Source organism: Homo sapiens, chromosome 8 (assembly GCF_000001405.40).
Source record: "Homo sapiens chromosome 8, GRCh38.p14 Primary Assembly".
Classification (NCBI taxonomy): domain Eukaryota; kingdom Metazoa; phylum Chordata; class Mammalia; order Primates; family Hominidae; genus Homo; species Homo sapiens.
In genome coordinates this window covers 76,062,545-76,081,659 of record NC_000008.11, presented here as the reverse complement: position 1 = coordinate 76,081,659, position 19,115 = coordinate 76,062,545, and the positions used below count along the sequence as shown (strand labels likewise).

Here is a 19,115-nt window from a genome sequence, read left to right as displayed (position 1 = left end):
ACAAAAAACAAACTAAAAACATAATTTAAAAATGGACAAAGGACATAAATAGGTTTTTCTTCACAGAATATATAAATATAGTCAGCAAGCACATTAAAACATACTGAACATTCTTAATCATTGGGAAAATGCAAATCAAAACTACGAATACAGTACGAATGTATTAAATACCACTAAAGTGTACATCTAAACATTATTAAGATGGTAAATTTATGTTATGTGTATTTTACCAAAATAAAAAAATTAAATTACATGAAGTCATTATCACAACCAAGGTAATAGACATTTTCATGAGTATATGTATATGTCGAAACTCATCAAATTGTATACATTAAACTTGTAATTTTTTAAACAGCTTTGTTGATGCATAATTGATATATAAAATTTTTCCATATTTAATGTAAATAATCTGATAAGTTTGGTCATATACATACACCCATAATGTTGTCACCATAATCAGGGTAGTAAAAATATCTATCAACTCCAAAAGTTTCCTTGTGGCCCTCTGTGGGTGGTGTGTGTGTGTGTGTGTGTGTGTGTGTGTGTGTTTTAAGAGCACTTACATGAAGGAGAATTATTGCTCTATGGGTATAAAGTTTCACTTATGCAAGATGAATAAGTTCTAGAGATTCCCTGAACAACATAGTGCCTATAATTAATAATACAGTATTGTGCACTTAAAAAGTTGTAAAAAAATTAGAACTAATTAACTTTTTTTTTTTTTTTTTTTTTTTTTTTTTGCGACAGAGTCTCGCTCTGTTGCCCAGGCTGGAGTGCAGTGGTGCGATCTCGGCTCACTGCAAGCTCTGCCTCCCAGGTTCATGCCATTCTCCTACCTCAGCCTCCGGAGTAGCTGGGACTACAGGCACCCGCTACCATGCCCGGCTAATTTTTTTTGTTTTGTTTTGTTTTTTTGTATTTTTAGTAGAGACGGGTTTCACCGTATTAGCCAGGATGGTCTCGATCTCCTGACCTCGTGATCCGCCCACCTCGGCCTCCCAAAGTGCTGGGATTACAGGCATGAGCCACCACGCCTGGCTAGAATTAGAACTAATATTGTTTATATGCTCCCAGTAATTCTAAATGGGCATTCACAGTTTTAAATGTCATCTAGAATAAAACAAAATCCACTGGAAAAAATCACGCTAATTTCCAAAATACAAAACACTAGCCTAAATTTGTCATTCCCCAAGAAATAAGTATATTTTTTGTTATTCCCTTATAAGCTATTATAATCATTGATTTATCCATTCTTTTATTCATCTTATTCATATTGATTTCATAGTCTTAATTCAAAAAGCATTTATTGTGCTTATTACACTAGTCTCTATTGTAAACTTGAAAATGATTGTTTAGTGCCTAGTACATGAAACACAGTTTTGTAGCCCTTGTGGGAGATACAATAATGGACTTTCCTCCAAAGAACTTATTGCATAGGGAATATAGAAAACATATATGAACAAAATGCAAAAAAAAAAAAATAAGAAACAGAACTATATCAAAAATTGGCATAAAATGCTGAGAATTGAGAAGTGAGAAATGCAATTTCTGATTGAGAATATCAGAGAGGGATTTTTGAAGATGGCTTTTAAGCAAGGCCATCAAGAATAGATAAACTTGATGACACTATGTAGATAAAAATAATCATGTTCTATATAGTTTCTTGTTTATAATAGCAAGGTACCTGCCATTTTGAATTGTACAGACAGCCAGAAATGTCCATGCTTCTCAACTTTCTGTAGTGGAAGAATCTAATAGTAACTGAAAAATCGATAGTTTTAGAAACCATAGCCAGAAATTCTAAAGTATTAAAAAAGATTAATTATTCCTTCTCACATGGAATATTATTTGTGCCTTATTTCAATAGAAACTTATCCTATTAGATCAATGAAGGAAAGATGGTGAGAATTAATACAAAATCTAGATTTTTGGAAAAATAGACTTTAATTCATTTTTAATTACCCAGTACATATAAACTATCGAAGTACTCTATTTTACATTCCTAAGGAGGACGGGTTTAATAAGAAGAAAACTTATAATTTTTATGTTAGTTATTTGTTGGTAAATTGAAAGTAATGAAAACAGTGTTTGGAAATTGGTTGCTCTCTAAATGATCACCCACATGGATCTTTATTGCACTTTTAATTTGTTTAAGTTTTTTTATTCTTTTGTCATATTTGCTAAAAGATAATCTGAGTGGCTTTAAATATGTTTGGCTTCTTGATTATTTGTAAGAATGTTAGAAACAGTTATTGCAGTTCTTGTTTTTTGTGTTTTTTTGGTTTTGTTTTGTTTTTCAGTGATCATGAGGTTTTAATGCCTCTCCTAACCCAGGATTAAAATAAACATGCAGCTATTCAGGATAATGTTATAGAGAGGAGCTATATATTTAGCATTCATTGAATGACCTCTTAAGTAACCTAACAATTAATGAAAGGCTTCTTGGCAAATAGTAGAGGACTATCCTCCACACTGGACATTCGAGGTTCTTATAACACAATTTTTGAGGACCTTCACTTTATGTACTTTTACAAATAAATCAAGAAATAATAGTATCTTAAGGAATGATAGGTGCACCTTTTTTTTTTTTTTCCTGAGACAGAGGCTCGCTCTGTCGCCCAGGCTGGAGTGCACTGGCCGGATCTCAGCTCACTGCAACCTCCGCCTCCCAGGTTCAGGCAATTCTCCTGTCTCAGCCTCCTAAGTAGCTGGAATTACAGGCGCATCCCACCACGCCCGGCTAATTTTTCTATTTTTAGTAGAGACGGTGTTTCACCATGTTGGCCAGGCTGGTCTCAAACGCCTGACCTCGTGATCCGCCCGCCTTGGCCTCCCAAAGTGCTGGGATTACAGGCATAAGCCACTGCGCCCAGACAGGTGCACTTTTTAATTAATTCATTAATTTAAAAAATACCTAACAATTATCTGTTATGTGCAGGAAGCTACATTAGATTATGTTTATTATTTGGAATAAGTTAATTTGAAGGAAAATTGGATCACATGTTCATCCATGACTAAATGATGCTAATATGAATAAATTTGTGCCAGTAGGCTATAAAATGGTTCTTAGTATAAGTTGATTATTGATTATACTGCTTTGAATGAAGCCAACACACTATTTCTCTAGTTTGTTTTAAAAATTACCACAGCATTATATTTTTATTCAATAAAATTGCACGAGAGCTTCCAAATCACAACTTCGAGTGTTAACAAACTGACTGAGTTTGGTAAACTAAATTAATAAAGGAAACATGGTTTGAGACTTACCTGTTTTTGGAATGGCTACAGATTTTTCAGGAAGCTCTAATAATAACTTTTTCAATAAGAATCCTATTGTCACAAGTTTCTATGTTTGTTTTTTCTTTTCCCAAAGAAAAGAGCCTATCCCTAAATAAACATTTCCTCAGAAACCAGAATGCCATCTACTGGTAGCCTCCAAAATTTTGTTAACTTTTAAACAAAACAATTTATGTTAAATCAGTTTAAAATAAAAAATATATTTTTAGTGAAGAAACATCTGACTTTTGAGGTAAATATGTATGTTATCATGTTCACATGTTTAAAAATTGAGGGATTTTTTTATATATACACTACCTTTTATTGCCATGATAGGAAACCATTTTCATGTGGTAATATAAATAATATAATTATCAAAAGGCTAATATCATCACAATATTCTTACTAATTAGAAGGGGAAAGATTCTTTAAATAAAAAATATATTCAAGGTCAAAAATATTTTTAATAGTTCTATATGTCATTAGGTCAACAATTTACATTATAGCTCATTTGATCCAAAGAATATTGATGGCAATTATCCATAGCATAGATATGATAACTTTATTGAAAAAGTATTTATAAGAAATACTTTTGACTGAACAAGACTCTTTGTGGAAACGTTTTCAAAATGTATTGCTAACAATATCTAATTAGTCTTTCTCAGCAGCTCAACATAATATTGAACTTATACCTATAATATAAATATGTATGTTTTAAATGTTTTGTTCAACTGATTCTGCAGTAAAGGAAAATAATGAACAACGAAAATCCCTTTAGATTTTAAAGCACCAAGAGCTTTTTAAAAAATAATCTATGAATTATTTTAATTATGTAATGGTTTACTACAAGCCTTGTATTAACTTTATCTTTTATTGTTCTTTTATGCATAATCTTACACATTTAAAAGATTTAATTCTTCAGTCTTAACAAGAGTAGAATTCACACAAAGATTATAAAAGCTTAGATTCATATCGTGATTGGTTTGGTAAAGCACCCAATTTCCCTTCATTTTCCAGAGGACTCATCTCGTTGGTCATCAGTAGAAAACTTTATGGGAAGCCTAAAGGTAGCCATGCTACCTTATAAATGTGCATAGTCCATGCATAAGAATGCATTTCAGGAAATCTTGAATTCTTATCTTGGTCTTTTTCAGTTAAAGTAGGAGAAGAATACTTAAAAAGTAAGTCCTATCAGTCGAGAAAAGCATTTTTAAAAGGCCATTATAAACGAAGTTCTCAGAACTCTGTCTCCAGCAAAGATATAAAGGTTACAAATTGCCTAGGCAGCCCTACTATATGATCATCTTATTTTAAATACAGATTGTCAGCAACTTTGAACCATGCAAGTTCATGATAAAATTGAGAGAAATACAAAATATATATGAAGAACAAGAGCATTTTCCTGCATCGGAATTTAAGAGAGCACAAAATATTCAATAAACTAGCTTTAAATTTGTGATTATTTTGGTAAAAAGCAGAGAAGAGAGTGTTAATTTATTTTCAATTTTTAATGCATATTGATATATGATGAAATGTTTTCTATTTAAATATTATAATTCACAGAAAATAGTATAATTACCTACTAAAATTTGGAATGATCAATGTAAAACTACTTCTTACAAAATTTTGTAAGCTGTCCTCAAAAATGCAAGAGATGCTGAACACTAATTCATAAAGAAAATTAAAATTAACTTAAACACATACATGGATATGTGTTTGATCTCTTATTGTTTAAATAAAAATTCACAAAGCAACTGGACTATATTGCCATTATAAAAGAAAGTGCAGTAGTTTAGATCACAGTAGTAGTTTAGAACATTTTTGTAAAATGAATTAAACCATTGTATATCATCTACTCTTGTTTCCATCCTGAAAAAAATTTCTGGTAGCCAACTGTTTTGAAATAAATTTTTCTGCAGTTGCTATAGTGATGACAATAAAGTTATTGCTTCTATTTGTGTGATAGAGGTTTCTAGCAGAACACTTGAAAAGGTAAGCTAATCAAAATGAAGACACTGTTAGTTCTCATCTTCAAGGCAGCTTTCTTGAATTTAGTTCACAATTACAGGACTCAACCATTGTTGACAATTTCATTATATACATATAATCATAATATATTTTAATATAGCTGTAAAACATTATATAACAAAGATGAGCTCTCTGTTTTTAATTATAGGCTAAAGTCATTGGACAAAGGATATTTAAGTTAATTCTGAACATTCTGTGAGAAAATCAAGGATTGAATCAAAGATCCTACTCCATTAGCTATTTTTGTCCATTACAAAGCTTTATTTTTTTAACAATACAATGATTGTATGTTATTTTGTTTCGATGGTACAGCTTGTTCAAGTCTCATTTCATCTCAATGTTGATGCAAACTAAAGAGCTTAAAAGCAGACAGTAACTTGTCAACTGGATGAATCATCAAAGACATGTCATGGATAAAGTAGGATTACATAGAAGCAAGTTCTGCCACAATGACATGAAAAAGTAATAGTATTTACCTTAAAACATTTGGAGAATTGAAATAGCTTTAAAAATTATTGGGTTAGAGAAAAAATATGCAAAACAGCATGTACAAATATAGAAGGTATTTCATGTCATTTTTATAAACAAGCAGAAATGTTTATTTTGACTATCAAAATCCAAGTGATTAGTTTAAAATAACCACAGTTCAACAAAGTATTTCACTAAACTACTTACCATACTTGTAATCATGATTGTACTATAAAGATACGTAGCACTTGTATGCTACAAGACCTATGGATATTTAATATCAGAAGCATACATATTATTTTTTTCATTAGCTCCTAAGAATAACTCTTGCTTTTAAATAAGCTATATTATAAATGATGTGTATTAGTTTTCTATTGTTATATGACAAATTGTCACAAATTTAGTAGCTTAAAACAATACCTTTTTATTAATGAGTCCAGACACAATGTGACAAGCTTAGGATTTCTGGTCCTGATCATAATTCACTCATTCTAAGGCTAAAATCAAAGTGTCAGCCAAACTGAGTTCTCATCTGGGGGCACTAAGAAAGGATGACCTTCAAGTGCATTGAGATTATTGGTAGAATTAAATTGCCTGTGGATGTAGTTCTGAAGTACTTGTTTTCTTGCTGGTTATTAGTTGGGGAGCCACTCCATTCCTAAAGGCTGCCTGCATTTCTTGTCTCATGTTCCCCTCCTCCTTCAAAGCTAGCAGTAGAGAATCTCTCTTGTATGGAATTCTCTCATGCCCTGAATCTCTGACATTAGGAAAAGTCCATTTCTTCTCCAGGGCTCTGCTGATTAGGCCAGACTCACCCCAGATAAGATGTCCATCATTTTCAAAGCCCCAAGGATTATGCAGGGTGCACAGACAACAGGGCAGATGTTTTGGGGGCCATCTTTGAATTCTGCTACCATGTGATGCAAATGTAATTGGTTATTCCATGAGATAGAGTTGTTGTTTCAATACAGACTCAAGATAAATCACAAGAATAAAGTGCTGTCTAAAAATATTGATTTAAAAAAATCTGTAAGATTTTCTTAAAATAAAAAATGAGTGAATTGAGATGGGAAATTATTAGTATTCATACAGCATGATGCAAAGGGCAGAAGCTAATTGGAGCCCTCTCTTACTGTCCAAAATTTTCACTCATAGGAGACCATAATCATAACCCAGAATCAAATGGCACTGAAAGGTGACTCAAGAAGTTTGTAGAAGAACTCTGATCAAGAATTTTAACTCAGATAAGTATTCCTATCATTATTTTTCTCTATTGGTGGTCATTGAGCTGGCTCTAAATACTTGGATACATAAGGAAAAGATACAATAGTTAATTTTTTGTTGTCAAGTTAGGAAAACTTGTCATGAATATTTATGTATCACCGTTGTAGTCACACAGCATGGATTTAGTGTTGTATTCTTTCACTTATTCCCCTTATGATCTAGAACAAACTCCTAGGATCTTCAGTTTCATTACTTGTAAAATGGGCATAATAATAGTATGTGATATCATTGTATTAAAGATAATTGGGACAATGCCTGTACGCCAATTCCTTTATAAAACCAAGTGCTCAAAAAATGGTAGTTATTATTATTTTTATTATTATTTTATTGATTGCTGAAGGCTTTATGTGAAATGACTGCTCTGAACTGTACTTGGAGCAAAAATATAGAATTTTAATGAATCATCACAACACTTTATGATATAGATATTATTATCTCAATTTTGTATTTAAGCAAACTAATTGGGAATGTTATAAAGCATGCTCAAACTGACTGGTGACAGAGTGAAGATTCCAAACCAGGTCTATGCTTTTAGTCATTCCTCTTTACTATACACCTCTCTTAAAAGCCACAAGAGACCATTCACTTCAATTACCTATTCTGACCTCATAAATAGATGGCTGCTTAGTTCTTGGTATTTAGGGGAACTAAAAAATGCCCTTCTCCAATATTACAAGTATCAGAGAACATTAACTAAAGTATTTACCACTTTCACCCTGAGGAACAGAGAAGCCATGTTGGACATAGGAAGGACAGTGGGAAACTGAGAACACCAAATATAATGTTTATTCACTGTATGATTTTGGTAAGGGCAGCCGTTGATAAATGTTCCTTAGTATTCTCTATTAAAAAACCAGAAAACTAAATATTAAGTATCTGCATGTATATTTATGAATGTTCAAATGAGGTGTCTATTAATTTCAGAGAACACATACACTGAGACAATTGCATTATATACACCACTGTTCTGGTACATTTATTAGTGGTTTCAAATCATGTAACAAACACTATCTAAGTCCTCTTGGTGACAAAGGCAATTGTGTGCAAATTCCTGATGATGGAATTAATAATTTATTTTACTATGGGCATTTTAAACCAGAAGTTTAAATTTAAAACAGGTATTCTTCAAAACAGTATAGTTAAAAGGCCAGAGATGTGAAGCCATAACCTGACCAATGACATTCAGGTCATGAGTAAACATATGGTCTGCCACAGTGACTCAATTAACCATCCATCAATGTAATTGCATAATACATCAGAGGAGGTAGTCTCCTACCAGTGAGGGTCAGCATCCCCTATTAAATTTAACAGGAAAAGCATCACTTTGCCATTAGCTTCTTTGGCTATATATTTTTAAATATTTTGAAAATACATTCGATACTGTATTTTATACTTACTGTTCTCTGGAAGAAATTTTTGACAAACTGATATTTGGGCTGCTGGTTAAGAAATAATTCTACTTATAATAAAGCTGGCATAAATGAAAAGCACAACTTACAAGACAAGTATTGCATTTTAATCAATTCTAATCACGTTATTGTTGAGATAAGAAAGAAGGAGGTATACCATTTATACATTATGTAAATTGTACATAAAGTTAACATGTTACAAACTTCTATGAAGAGATATGGCTGAACTGGTTTATGCAATCTTTGTGAACATTAAACCTTCTTGGCATAGTACACATGATAAAATAATGGCAATGCCTTATTAAGTAATTTTTTAAAAAAATGTATGGGGTATTAAACTAGATTGTCAGTATGATAGAGAGCTTGAAATCAAGAACAAATAAACATAATACTGGGTTTATGCTTCATAAGCAAGATGTACTTAGTAAATCAGGAAATGCTCTGTTCCTATCTGGTATGTTTCTCCTTCTTTTGAGGTTCACATCCTGAGGGAGAGTTGTACATTATTAATGTTATGTGCATTTAAACCTACACCTTAGCATCAAGAAAAAATAGTGGAGAGAACTTAAAAGAGATATTTTAGCTAATAGATACATAGTTCTCACTTGCATTGTATGCAACCTGCATTCCCTTTGTAGACAGAAAGTAACCATTGGCCAAGGCCCTATTCCTATAGGATTATTGATATAGAAAAAAATGATACCCCTAGATTTCTGCTTTCTTCAGGACTCCACCTTCCTCTGGTATAATACAATTTTTTTCTGACCTACAGTTGTTTGATATAAAATCTTACTATATTTTTTGTTTTATTTATTTTTGGGGGGACTTGGCACATCACTTTAGAATAAAGTACAATATTACTAAATAGTCAACTAGAATTATAAAATATTAGCAATATTTACCTTCTAACAAAACACAAGCTGAATGTATTAACTGATTACCAGTTATATTAGGTAACAGTTTGGAAAAAAATGGCACAGGGCAAGAAGAAAAAATGAACAAGTCTTCAAAAATTGTTCTAAGAAACTAAACTACTGTGGCTATCGGCTCTGATGAGAATGGTGAAATTGTTTGGAGAGGAAACCAGACATTGCAATGAAAAAATAATCTCTATTACTAAAACTAACTTAAAAAGCCAATATCTATATACTGTTTACTGTGAGCTCAAGTAAGAACTATTCCCTATTTCAAAACTGTCAGTCCTCCCAGTCCTTTATATTTGCATTATCAACAAGCCTGTATATATTACTGAAAATTCTTTAGTGTTAAGTATACTCTTTTTAACAATTTTTTTCTGGATATAGAGATATAATCATAGAATAAAGTTCTTCTGGAGTTTGAAAACAACTTTTGTCAGAAATACATTGTTTTCCTAGAAAGTCATGAGGGTTGCTGAGATTATTCTTGCCCATCAAAATCTCTGTCTCATTAGTTATGCCATACTACCTAGGGAAAATATCAACAGTGTTCTCCTCACGCATAGGCAGCAGGTTCTGTGTTACATCAGTACCAATGCCAAAGCCTTGGCATGCTGAATTAGCAAATTCCACTTGGAAACTGAACTGCAACTGGCTTGCTTTTACCATTACGGTTGGGCTTGCAGGCTACCCTGGTTCACCTGCTATGCCACTGTACTGAGGAAATATAATTTTTGTGAATTAGTTCTGTCTGATAATACTTTATACTTTCTCCTATTTTTTTTTAAAAAAGATGTAGAATTGATAGGGATTTACTTAAAATAAAATTAGTCTGTTGTAACTCCTTTATGCTTCACTTTGAATAGATGAGCCAACGTTTTACTTGAGTGAATACATAAAGGCCATGATAGTTTAACTTTTACAACTCTCATTATTCTACCTCCAAGCTTATTTATCCCTTGTTTGCTCCTTCCTTACTTCAGGGGTCAATAATTTTTAATGAGATAACTGAAAGGAACAGTTTTGGGGGTTTGGAGAAAGGTAAAATCATAATCACCAGGAATTCATTGCAGAACTCCACGTAATTACTGTGAAGAGACTGAAGTTTTCAGGCCCCACTTGAATTACCAGGTATGAATAATTACCATGGAGAACTTCTGCTCTGCATGAAATTATGTTACTTTACACACAATATTATTAGTTATTACAGAAATGCAAAATAAATCCAGAATAATTTACCTAATAGAATAGCAACTAAATAAAATTTAGAACTGACAATTGCAAGTGCTGACAAGGATGTGGAAGAACTTGAACTGTCATATATTGCTGGTGAAAATGCAAAATAGTATGATATGGAAAACTGTTTGACAGTTTTTTGGTTTTTTTTTTTTGTAAACTTAAGCGTCCGCTTAGTGTATGACCCGGTTATTCCACTTCTATTTATTTACCCAGGAAAAATAAAATCTATAGTAACAGGAAAACCTGTCTATTAAGGTGCATATAAACTTTATTTGTAATAGCCTAAAACTGGAAGCAATACAAATATCTCTCAAGTGAGGAATGAAAAACCAAAATGGAGAATGTTCATACAAGAAAATATTACTTGACAATAAAAGAAACTGACTATCGAAACACAGAACAACATCAATTAATAGTAAATTCATTAGGATGAGAGAAAGAAGCCAGACTTAAAGGCTGCATATTCTCAGTTCAACTTCTATGAAATTATAGAAATGGCAACATTGTAATAATGGAGAGCAGGTTATTGGTCACTATGGGTTAAGAGTGAAGGGAAGGTTTAAATATAAACAGTACGAAGAACTTTTGGATAGGATAATGAAACTGTACTGTATATTGATTGTGGTGGTGTTTACACAAGTACATGCATTAATCAAAACTCATAGAACTGTTCACCCAACAGTGTTAATTTTAATATATGTATATTTAAAAATCCGAATAACACATACTTTGCACATTTTAATTTGGAAAAACTAGGGTCCCTTTAGAGTGAAAAATGTATGAATCTCTTCCCTGGAGTTGTAGAGGACTTGGATATACATTCTAGAATATGAAGATTGATTGAAATTCTTAGAAGCAGAAAGTGGAAGAGAGAGACAAAGTGAGAAGAAAAATAGCTGCATGGTGAGTGTATATTAATGACTGGAAGGCACATTGGAATGTAGTTAATTTCCTGCAATCAGTAGCTACTTCCATAATAATTACACATGTGTAATTCCTTCTCTCTATATATAATTGCATGTGTGTGTGTATATATATATACACACACACATACATAAAATTGTGTATGTATGTATATATATGTCTCTGTATATAATTGTGTGTATGTGTGTATATAGATACATATATGTGTATATATACATGTTTATATGTAAACATACCTATACCCATATATAAGCATATATATACCCATAAACATATATAAAATAGATATTATATATTATAATATATATTATATATATAATATAATGTATAATATATAAATCTATATTGTAAATTTAAATAAATTATAAATCTGTAATATATAAATCATATATATAATATTATAAATCTATAATAATGCTGTCATACCAGGTTACTAAAGCTAAAGCTTTAGTTTTAGTAACCTGGTAGCAATTGCACAATACTACTCTACCATTTATATGGACTGAATTTTTTTTATATGTTTCTATTCTTAATCTTTCATGGGCTCTGATGAGTGTGTCTAAATGAGATAATGGATGCTCTTCCTGTATGCTCTTTCTGAAATTTATTTCCACTTTTGGGATGGAAGTGACAGGTACTGACAATTGGCCTAAATTGAGGGTTCTTAGGATAAGACATTGTTCCTCTGGAAGCCTATGATTACTAAAATTAGAGGAGACCAGGAGGCTTGCTCAACTAAAATTAGAGGAGACCAAGAAGGCATCCATGTGACAGGGGAGAGACAAAGGTGGCCAGGGAAGATTTGATACACACAAGATTTATATTATAAATAAATGTATTGATGATAATAGTGGCAAGTTTTCTCACTGTTATATGAGACTTCCATTCGTGCAAAGGGAGAAAACTAATGTAAACCTTGCCCTGTGTTGCTGAATTGGGATTGGAGATACCAGTGTGAACTCATGGTTTTCAACATAGACAGTTAGATATGTAGTTAGAGAGAGAAAGATAAGTATATATCAGGAAGGGTTAGAGGAGAGAGAAATAAGAGAAATAGAGACAGAGAAATCGATATAGGTTTGTGTGTGGGCGTGGGGAGGGTATCTTTCCACTGAGTGGGCTGGGCCTGGGAGCAGTGAGATACCAATAGCCATGAGCTCACCTAGACCCAGATCTTAATCCCTAAATATTATTCTTCATCAAAAGCAACCATTTATCCTGGGAGAAATGATAAATAGCCATTTTGTGGGGAGAAGTTCTTTGTTAGTGAAAGTACAACATGAGCCTGGAACATCTTCTTGTGCCAAAAACTTAAAAAGTGCTAAAAGAATTATGAGACATGCCAATAAAACACAGAAGTCAGCCTAAAGTGTTACTACTCACAAAATCTGGTATAAATTGAGCATTAAATTACATAATGCTATAATAAATTATAACCCATTGAATAAAACAATAGGTTATTATTTTATATTTGCAAACAGGATTCCATGAGGCCAAACTGATATATTTAAAAACACACATGTCAAGAACAGAAAGTTTTTTGCTTATAGTAGGATACTAATATATGCAGTAAAAATTATTTTTTCTCTTCATTCAGCAAAAATTCTGGATACAATACACTATTATTAACTGTAGGCCTCATGTATTAAAGGTAATGGCAAAACTGCAATTACTTTTGCAATAAACTATATATTAGATCTTCAGCCTTGTTCGTCCTACATATCTGCTACTTTGTATCTTTCAACTTTAATCTCTCTATTTTCCTCCTGGTAATTGTTGTTTTCTCTATCACTATATATTAGACATTTTAAAATTTTAGATTGCATATAAAAGTGAGATGATGCAATATTTTTCTTTTTCTATCTGGTTTATTTCATTTAGCATAATGTCTTCCAGATCCATCCATGTTGTGGCAAATGGCAGAATCTCCTGCTTTTTAAAGATTGGATGATATTCCATCACATATACAATAGTTTCTTTATACATTTGTCCGCTGACAGACACCTAGGTTGTTTCCATATCTTGCCTGATGTGAATAATCCTACCATAAATATGTAAGTGCAGATATCTTTACAAGGTGCTGATTTTAATGTCCTTTTGTTTAGTCATATGGTAGTTCTATTTTTAATTTCTTCAGGTATGTTCATATTGTCTTCCACAATGGCTGTACCAATCTACTATTTCTACCAAGAGTATATAGGGTTCCCTTTTTTTCCACACCCTTGCCAACATTTGTTATTGCTTGTTATTTATATAACAGCTGTTTTAAGGAGTGTGAGGTGATATATCAAGGTTGTTCTGATTTGCAGTTTTCTGGTGATTAGTGATCTTCAGCACCTTTTCATTTATGCATTGGCCATTTTTATGTCATCCTTGGAGACATGCCTATTTTTGTCCATGGACATTTTAAAATCAGGTTACATATTCTCTTGCTATTGAGTTGTATGAGTTCTATATAAATTTTTGATATGAACTGCTTATCAGATACATGGTTTGCAAATATTTTTTCCAAATACATAGTTTGCTTTTTTGTTGTGTTAATTGTTTCCTTTGCTGTGAGAAACTTTTTAGTTTGATGCGATCTCATTTATTTAATTTTGCTTTTGTAGCCTGAGATTTTGGGGCGATATCTACAAAATTCTTGCCAAGGCCAATGTTAAAAAGCTTTTCCCCTATGTTTTTTTTCTCTTTCTAGGAGATTTGTGAGTTCAGGTCTTCTGTTCAGATATTTTATCCATTTTGAGTTGATTTTTGTGTATGGTATACCATAAGGATCCATTTTATTTTTTTAGCATGTGGCAACATAGTTTTGTCAGAAACATTTATTGAAGAGACTATCCTTTCCCCATTGTGTCCTCTTGATGCTGTGTCAAAAATTGATTGACCATATAAGTTAGGATTCATTTCTGGGCTCTCTATTCTGTTTTGCTCGGCTATGTGGCTGTTTTCATATCAATACCTTACTATATTAATCACTCTACCTTTGTAATATAATTTTACGTCAGAAAGTATAATAATATAATGTTAAATCAGAAAGTGTGATGTGATGCCTTCAACTTTTATCTTTTTCTCAGAATTGCTTTGGCTATTTGGAGTCTTTTGTTACACCATACAAATTTTAGAATTGTTTTTTCTATTGCAGTGAATAATGCTACTGGTTATGTTGTTTATTTGTGTATAGAAATGCCATAAACATTTGTATGTTGATTTTGTATTCTGCAACTTTACTGACTTTATTTCTTTCTCTTTGAAGCAACTTTGAATGGGAGTTCACTCATGATTTGGCTCTCTGTTTGTCTGTTATTGCTGTATAAGAATGCTTGTGATTTTTGTACATTGATTTTGTATCCTGAGACTTTGCTGAAGTTGCTTATCAGCTTAAGGAGATTTTGGGCTGAGACAATGGGGTTTTCTAGATATACAATCATGTCATCTGCAAACAGGGACAATTTGACTTCCTCTTTTCCTAATTGAATGCCCTTTATTTCCTTCTCCTGCCTCATTGCCCTGGCCAGAACTTCCAACACTATGTTGAATAGGAGTGGTGAGAGAGGGCATCCCTGTCTTGTGCCAGTTTTCAAAGGGAATGCTTCCAGTTTTTGCCCATTCAGTATGATATTGGCTGTGGGTTTGTCATAAATAGCTCTTATTATTTTGAGATACATCCCATCAATACCTAATTTATTGAGAGTTTTTAGCATGAAGGGTTGTTGAATTTTGTCAAAGGCCTTTTCTGCATCTATTGAGATAATCATGTGGTTTTTGTCTTTGGTTCTGTTTATATGCTGGGTTACATTTATTGATTTGCGTATATTGAACCAGCCTTGCATCCCAGGGATGAAGCCCACTTGATCATGGTGGATAAGCTTTTTGATATGCTGCTGGATTCGGTTTGCCACTATTTTATTGAGGATTTTTGCATCAATGTTCATCAAGGATATTGGTCTAAAATTCCCTTTTTTGGTTGTGTGTCTGCCCGGCTTTGGTATCAGGATGATGCTGGCCTCATAAAATGAGTTAGGGAGGAATCCCTCTTTTTCTGTTGATTGGAATAGTTTCAGAAGGAATGGTACCAGTTCCTCCTTGTACCTCTGGTAGAATTCGGCTGTGAATCCATCTGGTCCTGGACTCTTTTTGGTTGGTAAGCTATTGATTATTGCCACAATTTCAGAGCCTGTTATTGGTCTATTCAGAGATTCAACTTCTTCCTGGTTTAGTCTTGGGAGGGTGTATGTGTCGAGGAATTTATCCATTTCTTCTAGATTTTCTAGTTTATTTGCGTAGAGGTGTTTGTAGTATTCTCTGATTGTAGTTTGTATTTCTGTGGGATCGGTGGTGATATCCCCTTTATCATTTTTTATTGTATCTATGTGATTCTTCTCTCTTTTCTTCTTTATTAGTCTTGGTAGTGGTCTATCAATTTTGTTGATAGTTTCAAAAAACCAGCTCCTGGATTCATTAATTTTTTGAAGGGTTTTTTGTGTCTCTATTTCCTTCATTTCTGCTCTGATTTTAGTTATTTCTTGCCTTCTGCTAGCTTTTGAATGTGTTTGCTCTTGCTTTTCTAGTTCTTTTAATTGTGATGTTAGGGTGTCAATTTTGGATCTTTCCTGCTTTCTCTTGTGGGCATTTAGTGCTACAAATTTCCCTCTACACACTGCTTTGAATGTGTCCCAGAGATTCTGGTATGTTGTGTCTTTGTTCTTGTTGGTTTCAAAAAACATCTTTATTTCTGCCTTCATTTCGTTGTGTACGCAGCAGTCATTCAGGAGCAGGTTGTTCAGTTTCCATGTAGTTGAGCCGCTTTGAGTGAGATTCTTAATCCTGAGTTCTAGTTTGATTGCACTGTGGTCTGAGAGACAGTTTGTTATAATGTCTGATCTTTTACATTTGCTGAGGAGAGCTTTACGTCCAACTATGTGGTCTATTTTGGAATAGGTGTGGTGTGGTGCTGAAAAAAATGTATATTCTGTTGATTTGGGGTGGAGAGTTCTGTAGATGTCTATTAGGTCCACTCGGTGCAGAGTTGAGTTCAATTCCTGGGTATCCTTGTGAACTTTCTGTCTCGTTGATCTGTCTAATGTTGACAGTGGGGTTTAAAGTCTCCCCTTATTATTGTGTGGGAGTCTAAGTCTCTTTGTAGGTCACTCAGGACTTGCTTTATGAATCTGGGTGCTCCTGTATTGGGTGCATATATATTTAGGATAGTTAGCTCTTCTTGTTGAATTGATCCCTTTACCATTATGTAATGGCCTTCTTTGTCTCTTTTGATCTTTGTTGGTTTAAAGTCTGTTTTATCAGAGGCTAGGATTGCAACCCCTCCCTTTTTTTGTTTTCCATTTGCTTGGTAGATCTTCCTCCATCCTTTTATTTTGAGCCTATGTGTGTCTCTGCACGTGAGATGGGTTTCCTGAATACAGCACACTGATGGGTCTTGACTCTTTATCCAATTTGCCAGTCTGTGTCTTTTAATTGGAGCATTTAGTCCATTTACATTTAAAGTTAATATTGTTATGTGTGAATTTGATCCTGTCATTATCATGTTAGCTGGTTATTTTGTTCGTTAGTTGATGCAGTTTCTTCCTAGCCTCGAAGGTCTTTACTATTTGGCATGGTTTTGCAGTGGCTGGTACCGGTTATTCCTTTCCATGTTTAGTGCTTCCTTCAGGAGCTCTTTTAGGGCAGGCCTGGTGGTGACAAAATCTCTCAGCATTGGCTTGTCTGTAAATTATTTTATTTCTCCTTCACTTATGAAGCTTAGTTTGGCTGGATATGAAATTCTGGGTTGAAAATTCTTTTCTTTAAGAATGTTGAATATTGGCCCCCACTCTCTTCTGGCTTGTAGAGTTTCTGCCGAGAGATCTGCTGTTAGTCTGATGGGCTTCCCTTTGTGGGTAATGTGACCTTTCTCTCTGGCTGCCCTTAACATTTTTTCTTTCATTTCAACTTTGGTGAATCTGACAATTATGTGTCTTGGAGTTGCTCTTCTCGAGGAGTATCTTTGTGGCGTTCTCTGTATTTCCTGAATCTGAATGTTGGCCTGCCTTGCTAGATTGGGGAAGTTCTCCTGGATAATATCCTGCAGAGTGTTTTCCAACTTGGTTCCATTCTCCCCATCACTTTCAGGTACACCAATCAGACTCAGATTTGGTCTTTTCACATAATCCCATATTTCTTGGAGGCTTTGTTCGTTTTTTTTTATTCTTTTTTCTCTAAACTTCCCTTCTCGCTTCATTTCATTCATTTCATCTTCCATCACTGATACCCTTTCTTCCAGTTGATTGCATCGGTTACTGAGGCTTCTGCATTCTTAACGTAGTTCTCCAGCCTTGGCTTTCAGCTCCATCAGCTCCTTTAAGCACTTCTCTATATTGGTTATCCTAGTTATACATTCTTCTAAATTTTTTTCAAAGTTTTCAACTTCTTTGTCTTTGGTTTGAATTTCCTCCTGTAGCTCAGAGTAGTTTGATCATCTGAAGCCTTATTCTCTCAAGCCTTTTTCTCAATACTTACTTTATTTCTAACAGTTCTAACAGTTTTTTGGTGAAGTCTTTGCACTTTTCTACTTATAAGATCAAGTCATCAATAAATAAGGATAATCGTATTTGTTCCTTTCTGATTTGAATACATTTTGTTTGTCTGATTGCTCTTAATAATACTTCCAGTACTATGTTGAATAGAAGTGGCAAGAGTGGGTGTCCTTGCCCTATACCAGACCTTAGAGAATCAGCCTTCAGCTTCTCTCCATTGGACGGTGATGCTAGTTCTGGGTTTTTCATAAGCAGCCACAACCACTATTGTGTTGAGCAACTTGCATTCTATACTGTTGAGAGTTTTTCTCAAGAAAGGATGTTGATCTTTGTTGAATGCTTTTTCTGCATTAAGTGCGATGATCATGTGGTTATTATCTTCCATCAGCTGAGATGATGTAATCACATTCATTCACTTCCATCTGTTAAGCCAGCCTTATATGCCATGGATAAATCCCATATGATCATGATCTTTTTGGTATGTTGTTGAATGCTGTTTGCCAATATTTTATTGAACAATTTTGCATCAGTGTTTATCAGAGGTATTGTCTTGTAGTTTACTTATGATGTCTTTGTCTGGCTTAGGTATCAAGGTGATGCTGGTCTCATAAAATGTGTTAAAAAGTATTTCCTACATCTCTACTTTTTTGAAAGAGTTTAAGAAGTATTGGTACTAATTATTCTTTGAAAGTTTGGTAGAATTCAGCAATAAATTCATCTGGTCTGTAGCTTTTCTTTGTTGAGAGGCTTTTAATTACAACTTCAATGTCTTTGTTGTTAGTCTGTTCAGACTTTCTACTTTTCCCTGATTCAAACTTGGTAGGCTCTATTTTTCTAGAAACTTATCAATTTCCTCTAGTTTATTGAATTTGTTTGCATATAATTGATCATAATATTCTTTATGATCTTTTTAATTACTGAGGTATTTGTTGTAATACCTTCACTTTCACTTCTCATTTTATATATTTGAGTCTTCTCTCTTTTCTTCTTAGTTATTTTAGCTGAGTTTGTCAATTTTGTTTCTTTTTTTTTTTTTCAAA

General features: G+C 33.3%; 1 long non-coding RNA gene across 1 annotated transcript in view; it reads left to right on the top strand.

Moving 5' to 3' along the window:
• Positions 1-5,625: 5,625 nt before the first annotated feature.
• The window catches only part of LOC105375906 (uncharacterized), a 31,793-nt gene continuing 18,303 nt past the window's right edge, over positions 5,626-19,115 (top strand). Inside the window, exons 1-3 of the long non-coding RNA XR_929059.3 lie at positions 5,626-5,766; positions 6,928-10,513; positions 11,378-11,524. This is a non-coding gene — a long non-coding RNA (uncharacterized LOC105375906). The remainder of the gene's footprint in view (positions 5,767-6,927; positions 10,514-11,377; positions 11,525-19,115) is intronic.